This window comes from Homo sapiens, chromosome 8 (assembly GCF_000001405.40).
Source record: "Homo sapiens chromosome 8, GRCh38.p14 Primary Assembly".
Classification (NCBI taxonomy): Eukaryota; Metazoa; Chordata; class Mammalia; order Primates; family Hominidae; genus Homo; species Homo sapiens.
In genome coordinates this window covers 90928659-90940911 of record NC_000008.11, presented here as the reverse complement: position 1 = coordinate 90940911, position 12253 = coordinate 90928659, and the positions used below count along the sequence as shown (strand labels likewise).

Below are 12253 nucleotides of genomic sequence, written 5' to 3'. Positions count from 1 at the left end.
TCGGAGCACTTACCGCAAGCATCCACTTTGGGAGGAAGCACTCTCCACGTAGTGTTTCAGAGCGAGCTGGAATTCTTCCAGGTCCTCTTCTATCACAGACATCTGCCGCTGCACAAGCATGATGTGCTGCCAAGGAAGGGGCGAGGGTCACTGCGTTGGCTGTCACGGAGCCCGATTTAAGCTGACTCCTACTGCCCATCCCATTCCTCCTCACAAAAACAGATGATTGTCATCCAAAAATATGACCAAGGAAGGCCATGACTATTCCAAGTATAAAACTGTATAAAGGCTGTAATCTAGGCAAGATATTTTCCTTGCCTCTAGTCCCAGAAGCTAAACAACGTGTTCTTTACAATGACGTGTTTCCCTTTAAAAGCAGTGATTCTCAATGACTCGAGAAGTTTTAAAATTATCTTTATATCAAAATCTCTGGGAGTGGGGCCCAGGCACTGCTATTTTTAAAACCTCCCTAAGTGTCTGTATTGTGCAGGCAGAGCTGGGATCACTTCCCTATAACAACTTACCAATTTTTAAAGAGAAGTCCTATTGTTCATTGCACAGCTCCAATTTCTTGAATATTTTGTGATATTAGACATAAGTGACAATCATTACAAACAACTAGATTTCAAAAAAATTAGTAACTCATGCATTTCCAAAGGTATATCAAATATTACAGGGTTGTCAAACACATTAACTACTTACAACAGGCCCTGTTCAAATGGTAATGGCATCAGATGGTGCTTGTTTTTAATGGATCACACTGGATTGGATGCCAACTGTTTCCTGTAACAAATCCTATTAGCATTATAGCAATTGTAGTTTCAAGGCTTCCCTCAAGATCCGCCTGTGGGCTTCTCATGGAATTTTAGATATCAACATTAGTTCTTTTCAAGAATTGGTAGTGAAAGTATAAAAGTGCAAATCAAAGTAAGGATTGGCATGAATCATAAAAGTGCATAAACAAAAACAAAACACAAGGTAAGGATGATCTAGAATATGAGAAAAATAACTTCCACAGTAATACCAGCTATGTAGCATGAGAGAATTAAACCCCTGGTCTACTGTTTTCTATTCCAATGGGTTTCTCATTTCATGTCAATAGCTACTATTTGTTGAATACCAATGATATTTTAGAGGTTAGGTATTCAGTATATTCAACAAATATTCCTACTTTTGTTGGACTAACCAAAGCACATGGGTTTAGTATTAATAACTAAGTAGGGTTAATTTCTACCAAAATAATGATGGATATATCCTTTTCACAAAAATCTGCAGGGACCTCTTGGTTGGACATTTGTGATTACTAACTCAGATAATTAGGAAAGCTCATGGGCTTTCCTAATGAGATATATAAATACATCCACCTATTCCATCATAATTCTTTTCGTCTAAAGGCAATTCTTACGTGATCAAGTGGGATGGATTGTAAAAATAACCAGAACTCTTCACTACCCTCCTGAACTCATGCCCTTTGACTAATTTGACTTTTTAGCTCCTCTCCTCAAGACATGGATTCTATTTTCCCTCCCCTTGGATCTGGTTTGGCTTTCTAACCTGCTCTGGCCAATCAACGTAGCAGAACTGACAGTGCACCAGTTTCAAATTCAGGCCCTAAGAGGCCGGTGGATTTCCACTCTTTCTCTTGGATCTCTGAGATTACCATATGAACAAGACCTGCTACAGCAGGGGCCAGCAAACATTTTCTGTAAATGGATGGGTAGTAAGTATTTTATTTAGGCTTTCTGTGCCACATGGCTCCTTTTGCAGCTAGTCAACTCTGCTATTGTGTAAAAGCAGCCACAGCCCACACATAAACAAATGAGTGTGGCTGTGTTACAATAAAACTTTATGAACAAAAACAAGAGGTATGCTGTAGTTTGCCAACCCCTATATTAGAGGATTAAAAACCACATAGAGCACACTTGAGCTCCTAGACATACGAGAAAGCTCAGCCAAGATCAGCAAAGCTAACATACAGCTTACTAGAGATACAAGGAGCCCATGTGAGACCATAAGAACCAGCCAGTTGATCCCAGCCTAAATTGCCTACCTGCAAAATTGTGGTTATTGTGTTAAGCCACTGAATTTGGGGATGCATTATTATGTTACCAATACCTAACTGATCATTCACTTATGTACATTGATGTATGAGTTGGAAAAATTGAGCTCTCGGCTTCCTAGATTGGGTTGCAATTTCCAACTTTGCAACCCAAACCAGATGTATCTTTTCCCCCTCCTTTCCTAAGATAGTTACACAAAGAAATCCATTTAAAGAGCCCCAGATAATCTGCCTAAGTTTGATGACTATTCTGACAAGCGGAGCTTTTTAAATAATAGTTAATTTAAAGTAGATTTTCTGAAATCCAAAAAAACGCTTAAATTTTCTGTTCCGGCTAGGCCGAAACAAATTGTAGGATGTGGGGTTTGGGAGAGGTGGAACAGGAGTCCTACTATCTTGTTAATATTTCTATGTGTCTCTTGTGTCAAATACACAGCCTGAAGCTTACTAAAATGTGGGATCCCAAGATATAGTTAGCTCAGAGCACTCTGTCATGGTTGAATATTCTTTCATGGTGCTACATTTTTGTTTCTCTATTATAGGAGTAGTAGTATATCATTTATCATTTACCTTATAGAAATTTTGTTGCAATAGAAGTATGGCTGGATATTTGGAATGTCTTGGACTAAATAGTGCTGTGTAAGTATGAAAGGCCAGTCTCAGTTCACAGGATAGTATTTGCCAGTGACATGAGATTTTGTTGCATCAGCCTTTGATTTCTTGGAACATTTCAAGAAATGTCATCTTTTTTAGTCTTGGGACACAGAGGCATGTTTTAAATACAACTTATTTTTTCATGTTACTTTGTTCTATTTAGTACATTTACAGTTGTGTTTCAAATATGTCTTCAGAGATACCCTAGCCTTTCTTGTATGCTCTCACTGACTCTCTTAACAACCATTGTAAAACAAGACTTATATTTTGATAGTCGCTGTTACATTACTTGAGAATAGCCCCCAAACCCTTAGGAATGTATGGCAGAATGGAATGACTTCAAGACATTATCCGTCGATTTTATATGGGTGTAGAGAGGCAGAAAAAAACTAGGTTTGTAGACTCATTGTATGATAAGCTATTTTAGTGTATTACAACAACAATGTGCTGAAGAAAAGTCTGAGTTTTTGAAAAGCACAAGAATGTGCTCAAATGTTGTTTAAAATTATCATGACTTTTTAAAAACCTTTGAATGAAGAAAATATCTGGAAAATGATCATCTTACTCCAGTACTCTTTTGGTAAGAAGTGCCATACAGGCACATCTTTATAATATGCTTGTTATAAATCATTTGGAACATTTGAATATTTTGATCTAGCACTTGAGTGTTCTTTCAGTGCAGTGTTAGAATCATTCGATGTAGTAAGAGATATATAAGTTTTTTTTAAAAAAACTTCTATTTATTATGATTTCATCTTAAGTATTATGTCATTTTGGAAGTATTCCTTGGTCTCCTAAATTGAGTTCTGTCCCCTTACTGTGCAAATCTGTACTTTCCTATAATAATCCTCATCACATTTTATTGTAGATTCTGTATAATTTCCTTCTAGTTTGTTTTCTAGCCTATAATATTCACCACTTTATTTCCAGACCCTATCTCCAGGCCTGGAACATAGTTGGTGATCAAGTTATTTGTGGAACAAACACATTAAAGATGCTTTTGCTTTTAGCCATTGACTAATCTTAGAATTCCCTTAATAAACTATTTATTCCAGGAGAGGATTTGAGGTGGCCCTGGAAACTCAACAGCACTGCATAATTGTTAGGTGCTCTTTCATCTGTCTCCACCATCCTGTCCTCTTTTTCTTTTCTTCCTTCTTCTTCAAGAGCAGGCATATAAATTGAAAAGAATTAGCTTCACTTTTCCTATGTGGCCTTTAACAAGTTACTTAATTCTTTCTCAGTTTGTCTTCTGATACGTAAAATTAGAATAGTGGTACTTATATCACAAAGTTTTGGGAGGACTAAATAGAATTGTGTGTATAACGATCCTTTCCATGACAGGTACTAAATAAGTGTTACATCTCTTACTCTGGGCTGAGAAAAAAAAAAATGGACTTAAAAAAAGAAATCATTTCCTGGACTCATCATTATGTAACGGCTCATTGCCCAGAAAACTAGAGATGGCAGTTGCTAGGGTTCAGGACTTTTGCTGTGTGCTTAAACAAGCCTGCCAGACAATCTGCTCTGCTCTTATGGTAGGGAATCTCATAAAACAATCATCCATTCATCCACAACCTCGCTAGCAAAGAGCAATTCTACTTTACAGGCTAGAAATCCACTAAACACTTAGGCTGAAAATGTTAGAGCATGGTGATGAGCATAGGTCTGGGGTTGAACTGCAGGGGTTCAGCTATGGTAGGTAAACTCCTTTAAACCTTAATTTCTTCATTGATAAAATGAGTCTGAGGATAGCACTACCTCATTTGGCTGGCTATTGTGAGGATTAAGTGAGTTATGTATGTGTTTAGTACAACACTTGGCACATAGCAAAGGATCAGTAAAGATTAGCATTTCAAAAACCAAGTGTAATACAAATTTATTCTTTGCTTTCTGTCATAGAATTTATTTTTCCAAGTTCTCAAGCATTCACTAATGGAAAAGGGAAAATACCTCTCTACTCAATAAATTCTAAAACTGGTTTTGGGCATCAGGATAGATCATTTAACACATGGTAGGATGGAATTATGAGCACTAGAGCACTAGCTATGAAATAACAGTGAAAAATGATTTTGGTCATTCTGAATATAGGAGGTTTTACAGGAATTTATAGTAATGCACTTACTACCATTAATTAAAAAAACAACTTTTAATGACAAATATCTTATTGTTACTTCTGAAAAAACAAACCAATTCAAATTTTTATGTCTATTCCCAAAGAGCATAATTGCTATACCTCTATATATGGCTGGAAATAGGGAATATCCTTTTCTGCTTTTAAACAATATTGAGAGCTGAATGACCTTCTTCAGTCTTATTTGTTTAAAGTACTTCTATGCACTACTGAATTAGTAATGTTTTGTGTGTTGATCTTTTAAAATTGGCCTTGGCTTTGGCTGCTCAGGGACCTGCAAATGGAATAGCTGCCTCCTTTCACAAACAATCCTTAGACAATTTTTCCTCTTCATAACTAGAGAGAAAAAATAATCTCACATTAGAAAATTATTTAAGAATAGGCAATTATCTCTCACAACATTAGATAAGTTATATTTGTTTTTCCTTTGTCTGGAGTATAGTTTTTCCTCTATGCAAACCTACGAGAAGATAACAGATGCATGATCACAAGGTTAACAATTCCTGTGCCTCCGGGACTGCACAAATCCGCTATTCTTAGTATGTATATGTGCTCAACACCCCTCTCCTCTCTTTCCCATGAAAGTCTACCATTTTAAAATGTTGGGGTCTTGAGGAATTAACACAGACTACATCCCTGTCTCTGGAGGGATAAAAGCACTAGACATGCAGTGACAAATCTAGCTTATCGGGGTAAAGTATTCATAACTATAGGATTCTAACAGTAGCAGCCATGATTAAACTTTTCTGAGACTCCCACAAAGCTTCCTCTGAAGAATCCCTTTGGATTATGAGTTTGGACAGATGGGCAGGAGCCTTACACATAGGTGGGTCTCAACTTCATCTATCATGTAGTCAGTGCTTGTGCACAATTCAGAGATGAAAGGTTATTTCCTACCTTGGTTTCATATAAATGTGTGACCAATCCTTTGACATCTATAAAGTATATAATACATCTAAGGGATTAAAAAATGATTTTTCTCCTAGTTACCCAAGATTTTAAAATCCAAATTTTCACTAAATGTAAATATAAACATCCAACTTCCTGAAACAAAATGTACTATGCATGTTTGCCTCAACATAAAGTAAATAATAAAGCTTGGTATGTACTGCTTTTAATTATTTGCTAACTTCTTTTTGTTGCATCTTAATGTACTTTTTAGGATCCCTTTGTCCATTCTTCTTCTGTTTCCAAAAACTGCTGCCACTCTGGATGGACATCTTGTCCCTAGGGATACAAATGTTCCCTTTTGCATCAATTTATTCTTTGAAAAATTATTTCTGAGCATTTTCAATGTGCCTGGCCCTAGGCTAAATGCTGGAAATATAATAATGAACAGAACCAGGTTTCCGCTCAGGTATATCCAGTGTACAACATAGCAGGATTTACAAAATGTTTATGATACAACTTAAATGTTGCCCTTCTCTGCCAGTCATATTCCTTCAATTATTCAATAACTCATTGATTTATACATGTATAAAATTTTCATTTTGCACCTATTACATGCCAGGTACTTTTGCAAAAACTGTGAAGTAGGTATTAGGTTTACACAAATCACAATGTAGAAACAACACTACTGAATCTTATAAAATGAAATACGACTACTTGGTTTTTCAATTTTTCATTGAGATAACTAATTTTTGAAGAAATTAAATTATGTTTTTAAAGAATATATTTCTAACATTTTTACCTGATAAAAATACTTACAGATTTAGTATTCCCTTCAATAATTTCTTCTTCTGGTGGTTCGAGTTTGAGATCCTTCAATAAGAGGAAGAAATGGCAGAAAAGAAAAAAAATTATATCATTTAAAACAATGCCATATATTCAAATCATAGTTCTCTCATGGCTAACATTGAACCAAAAGAACTTCATTATCTTAAAGATGAAATAATACTGATTTTTTTAAAACTCAGCTGTTCCAATAAAGACTCTTTGTACTTATTTATCAATTGTAAGAAGCTGTTTTAGACGTGTTCAAAGTATTGCTTTAAATTTACTTCTTGAATGCCATTAGAGAGCAAAGTGGAAGAGAAAGGTACATTAAAACAGAGAGGGAAAGGGTAGGAAGGTAAACGAAAGAAAAGGAAACAGAATGACTAAGCCTAACAGTCTGCTTTATTTTGCTATGAATGAGTATTGCCACATTTCTACATTTCTTGGGACATCATTATAAACATTAGTCTATTGTTACAATACATTTATACCCTGGTGTTAATTTTTCTTTATTAAATAGAAAGTGAATTAAAGAGTAAATGAAAATACGATTGACATTTGCTAAAAGTGAAGAACTCCTATAAAGACCGTGAAGTCTTAAAAAAAAGTTTTTTTTTTTATTTCCATAGGTTTTTGGGGAACAGGTGGTATTTGCTTGTACAGGTAAGTTCTTGAGTGGTGATTTGTGAGATGTTGGTGCACCCGTCACCTGAACAGTATACACTGAACCCGATTTGTAGTCTTTTATCCCTCATCTCCCTACCACCCTTTTCTCCTGAGTCCCCAAAGTCTACTGTGTCATTCTTATGCCTTTGCATCCTCATAGCTTAGCTCCCACTTATGAGTGAGAATATAGAATGGTTGGTTGTCCATTCCTGAGTTACTTCACTTGGAATAATAGTCTCCAGTCCCATCCAGGTTGCTACAAATGCCATTAATTCATTCCTTTTTATGGCTGAGTAGTATTCCATCGTACATACACACCATAATTTCTTTATCCACTCATTGATTGGCGGGCATTTGGGTTGGTTCCACATTTTTGCAACTGAAAATTGTGCTGCTATAAACATGTGTGTGCAAGTTCTTTTTTGTATAATGACTTCTTTTCCTCTGGGTAGATACCCAGTAGTGGAATTGCTGGATCAAATGGTAGTTCTACTTCTAGTTCTTTAAGGAATCTCCACACTATTTTCCATAGTGGTTGTACTTGTTTACATTCCCACCAGCAGTGTAGAAGTGTTCCCTGTTCACCACATCCATGCCAACATCTATTATTTTTTAATTTTTTTATTATGGCCTTTCTTGCAGGAGTAAGGTAGTATCACATTGTGGTTTTGATTTACATTTCCCTGATCATTGGTGATGTTGAGCATTTTTTCATAGTTTGTTGGCCCTTTATATATCTTCTTTTGAGAATTAAGACCTTAATGTCTTCTGTGATGACCAATGAATAATGCTAATGTCCTAATGTCCCCAGTGAAACCTAGTGCTTCATCTCTGAGAACTTCATTCTGTGAATGGCTATCCTAGCATTGTTTCCAATGAGGATTATGTAGAATAACTCCTTCAAATAAATAAGAAGTAAACTGAAAACTGTAGAAATCCAGACTATCTGAAATAACATATGCCTGTTAATAATAGAGCTATGTTGCTCTAGCTGTGCTGTTATTTTGTGGTGGAACTTTCGGCAAGGTATTTAACTTCTGTGGGGTTCACTTTTCCTGCTTTGCTGTAAATTCTCTATCCCTAAATCTTTACATAGCTGCCTTCTTCTTGACTTTCACATCTCAACTCGAATATCACCTTATTAGAGAGAACTTCCAGACCACTCATTTGGAGTTTTCAACCCCCTATCTGTATTATATTGCTCTACTTTTTCTTTATAGCACTTTCCATTATTTTATATTATCTTGTTTCATGGATTTGTTGTTTTTTTGGTCTGTCTCTTCAAAGACCAAGGATATTCTTTTCATCACTGCTGTATTTCCACTGCTGGAATAGTACCTGACACACAGTAGGTACTCAATAAATGTAGAATAAATGAATGGCTGAATGAATGCCCTGTCTAAATCATAGCTTTTCTATGAGGGCAAAATTATATGTAATGTATACAGATGTGAATTGAAAACTAAAAAGTACTCCACAGATAGAAACTGTAGCCTAGTAATCTCCTTGACCACTATTTCCCTGACACTAACTAAGGTACAATTTCAGTTCTACCTTTCCTGATCTAAGGTATGAAAAACTTAAAATAAGTTGTATGAGTGTGACATCCTGAATTACATCCTTTCAAATGAGAATGTCCTGTGATCTGATGATACACTAAGGACTTAATGAAGAATGAAGAGCTTTTATTGTTGTCCTTGTTGTTATTTTGTTTAACATTAAAGGTGGGGTTTTTTTTTGTTTTTTATTTTTGTTTATTTTATTTTATTTTATTTTTTTGAGATGGAGTTTTACTCTTTCGCTCAGGCTGGAGTGAAGTGGCACGATCTCGGCTCACTGCCACCTCTCCCTCCGGGGTTCAAGCGATTCTCCTGCCTCAGCCTCCCAAGTAGCTGGGATTACAGGCGCACACCACCACGCCTGGTTAATTTTTGTATTTTTAGTAGAGATGGGGTTTTGCCATGTTGGCCAGGCTGGTCTCGAACTCCTGACCTCAGGTGATCCACTTGCCTCAGCCTCCCAAAGTGCCGGGATTACAGGCGTGAGCCACTGCACCCAGCCATTAAAGGTGTTTTCTACAGGGATCAAGCAAAACACAAGACATAACCTCAGTATATTCCCATAAATTCTCATGGAGGCTGAAATGGATACAAGGAATACCTAAAGAAACCTATTTATAGAAATTGCTAAGTGTTATATTCCCCTACATGCATAGAATAGGGCTTGGTTTCAGTGCAGGAAGAATTTATCTTAAATACTTAATGCAGAGAAAAGATAACATATGTTCCACTGCAGGTACACTTCCTTCTAATGGGAAGATCAAAACTAGTGTTAACAACTACAGGAGACAAGGTACTCAGCAGTGAAATGACGTACTCAGCCACTGTTTGGCAATTGGGTAGTTTTTCTCTAAAAACCTAATCAGCACAGTACAGAATAAGTTGTAGAAGAAAACTGAACTTGCACTGCTTCTCCATTCATTAAGACAGCTCACACTGAGCTCCACACAGCTGGAGCCCCATGCTGAAAACCATCACATTGTACTTTTAGCAAACCTCTTATACACTGTCCTCAAAATGAAACCCTTTTATAGGAAGGGAGGGAGAAAAAAAGTCTAGAAAAAAAAGAAATGTCACATACTTTGATTTAAAGTTAGAAAAAAAGGCATAAGTTTGAGCCATTCCTTTAAAAATAACTATAAAAATTTCAGATACCAAATAAAGACAGTTTTGTCCAAAAATTCAAAACCACTTTAAAAAGAGGTATTTGTATTTTTAAATGAATCTGGACTTATTTAGCAAATGAATCCTTATGTTTTAACAAGCTTTAGTTTGCAAATAGAGGTCCTGGATTTGATCTTCCAATATTGGAAAACTAATTTCCATAGCCACTATTTTTCCTACAAATCTTTTTAGTTTCAGCTCACATATCAATAAAATAAGAAAGGAGGAAAGTTGATTTGCAGCAAGCTAGTAGTTTAAGTATTTGCTCCAGTAAGTGTTCAATATAAATTTAACAAATAAAGGCACCATGGCAGAGGGACAAGAACTCTATAGGGTTGTTTCCCCTTAACTTGGCTCTTGCACAGAATCTCCTTTTCAGAGACCTTACCCATCCTCACGACATGAGGGTTCATCTTTGTGGAAATATGTCTAAATACCTTAACCTGTTGGCCTGACTTCTCTCCTTCTAACATCTAACTAGGTATTTCTGCCTAAGTGTCCCATTGTACCTTGAAATTCATACATCAAAAACACTAGTTCACCTTCTCACCTTACCTCACAAATTCTCTCTCATGTGTCTCTTCCTTTTCTGTTAATGGTACAATTAATTGTTTCAGAAACACAGGCTCCAATCCTCAGATTCTTATTTGAGCTCCCCCTGTTCTTAACCCATTCAATAGTGCTGTTAATTGCACTTCAAGTGTTTCAAATCTGCCATTTTCTTCTCACTCATTAGCTTAATATAGGCCCATCTCATATCATACCTGATTTCACTGGGTTCAGTTTCACAAACCTCCTCTTCAATGCCATTTTCTGAGCTGGTATTAGTGTCTCTGAGCCTCATTTTTCTTGTTTTAACCCATTTTGCATTTGTTTTAATTCACTTTGCATCTTGCTGCCCAATTTCCTATCTAAAGGATTTTTTTTGGTTTGTCACTTAGCTGTTAAAAAATAATAAATGCCTTCTGTTGTTTCCAAGTCCAAATTCCTTAGACTATTATTTGAGGCTATCCATAATCTGGCCCTCTTCGGTCCATACAACCTTATTTGTTACTACTTCCCTACATGAAAGACTCTTAACCAGGCCAATCTACTGAACCTTGCAGATGCCATCACCTTGCTCATGCCATCACCTTACCTGAATGCCCTTTCCAGCTATCCTCTACTGAAATTTTACTTCTCCATAGCAAATATTACTTTCCTTGTTAGTTTGTTAGCTTATCAGCATTTATTCCAACTTTAATGACAATACATTTTCTTTTCATTGAATTATCTCTTCTTCTTTCTGTACTGTGCTCTGGGATTGTTATCAAGACTTTTCCCCCTCCCCTATCCAGGAGGCCAGCAATGCAACCCTACCATGACCAACCAGACTCTTCCTTCTGGGAAGCAGAATTTTGAACAGAAGGCCAACAGACTGGAAATGGTAGGAACTCATTTATTGCAGTGGAGGTAACTTCAGAGACTGTTGACTATTTCTTGCTATTTAGATCTGTAGGGTTATCTTGTCTTCTGACTTTTCCAAATTCAGACCTCTGGACTATCTGTTGATTCTGTGAGTACTTCCATATTCTTCCAGAAAACTCTCTTTTTTATTAGAGAAATGATTTCTATTGTTTGCAATAAAATTTTTAATTAAGTCACCATTTTTAAGGCCCCACTTGAACTCTTCCTGCCACACAAAGTCCTTCCTGAGCACCCCAGGTCACAGTGATCAACCCATCAGGTGAGCATGGATAGATTTTAACATCTGATCCATTCCTTTAACATGTCTCGGTCAGTCATTCAAATACTTACTGACCATGAACTATGAATCCCATTCTGTGCTACCATATAATTTTTAAAAAGTCTGTTATCTCTCTTGCTCTGCCTTTTTAGGAGAATAGCTTAGTTTTATAAGTAGACAATTGCTTTCTTCAAAGTCAGTGCTGTCACAAACATAAATGTTTCTCCCTTGGTGCCTGACATGTGCAGAAAACACATTTTTTTCTTACTGATTGACAAAAGTTGTCTCTCCTATCAAAGATGTTTAAGGAGAATATCACTACAATAACAGGACTACTTGGTACTAACTAAATTAATAAAAAAACAATAACTAAGAACATAAAATGTAGTTCTAAAGAACTCTTCATCACATTCTAACTTGCTTGCTTAGATAGTTTTAATAGCAAACCATCGGTTAATGTGCTAATTTCCAGAAGTTGAGTGTGGAATCTCATCTTTTAGTAGATAGCACTGCCATTTTCCTGAATTAATTTGAAAGATTCCCAAGACTTCAACTTATCCCTAAGTTAAAGGGAT

The 12253-nt window shown here is 36.2% G+C and overlaps 1 protein-coding gene and 1 long non-coding RNA gene across 8 annotated transcripts in view; one reads left to right on the top strand and one right to left on the bottom strand.

Moving 5' to 3' along the window:
• The window catches only part of NECAB1 (N-terminal EF-hand calcium binding protein 1), a 167619-nt gene that overhangs the window by 18482 nt on the left and 136884 nt on the right, over positions 1–12253 (bottom strand). For both annotated transcript variants that reach the window (NM_022351.5, XM_011517213.3), the window contains exons 9-10: positions 6555–6608; positions 14–126 (exon numbers count right to left, since the gene is read on the bottom strand). In NM_022351.5, coding sequence (NP_071746.1) covers positions 14–126; positions 6555–6608 — 167 coding nt within the window. The remainder of the gene's footprint in view (positions 1–13; positions 127–6554; positions 6609–12253) is intronic.
• The window catches only part of LOC105375634 (uncharacterized), a 109088-nt gene that overhangs the window by 13075 nt on the left and 83760 nt on the right, over positions 1–12253 (top strand). The window contains exons 1-2 of one of the 6 annotated variants that reach the window (XR_928394.3): positions 115–7226; positions 11290–11378. The exons of 4 other annotated variants lie outside the window; for them this stretch is intronic. This is a non-coding gene — a long non-coding RNA (uncharacterized LOC105375634). Of the gene's footprint in view, positions 1–114; positions 7227–9941; positions 11379–12253 lie in introns of those variants that run through there. One more of the 6 variants, XR_928392.4, reaches the window with a different exon arrangement.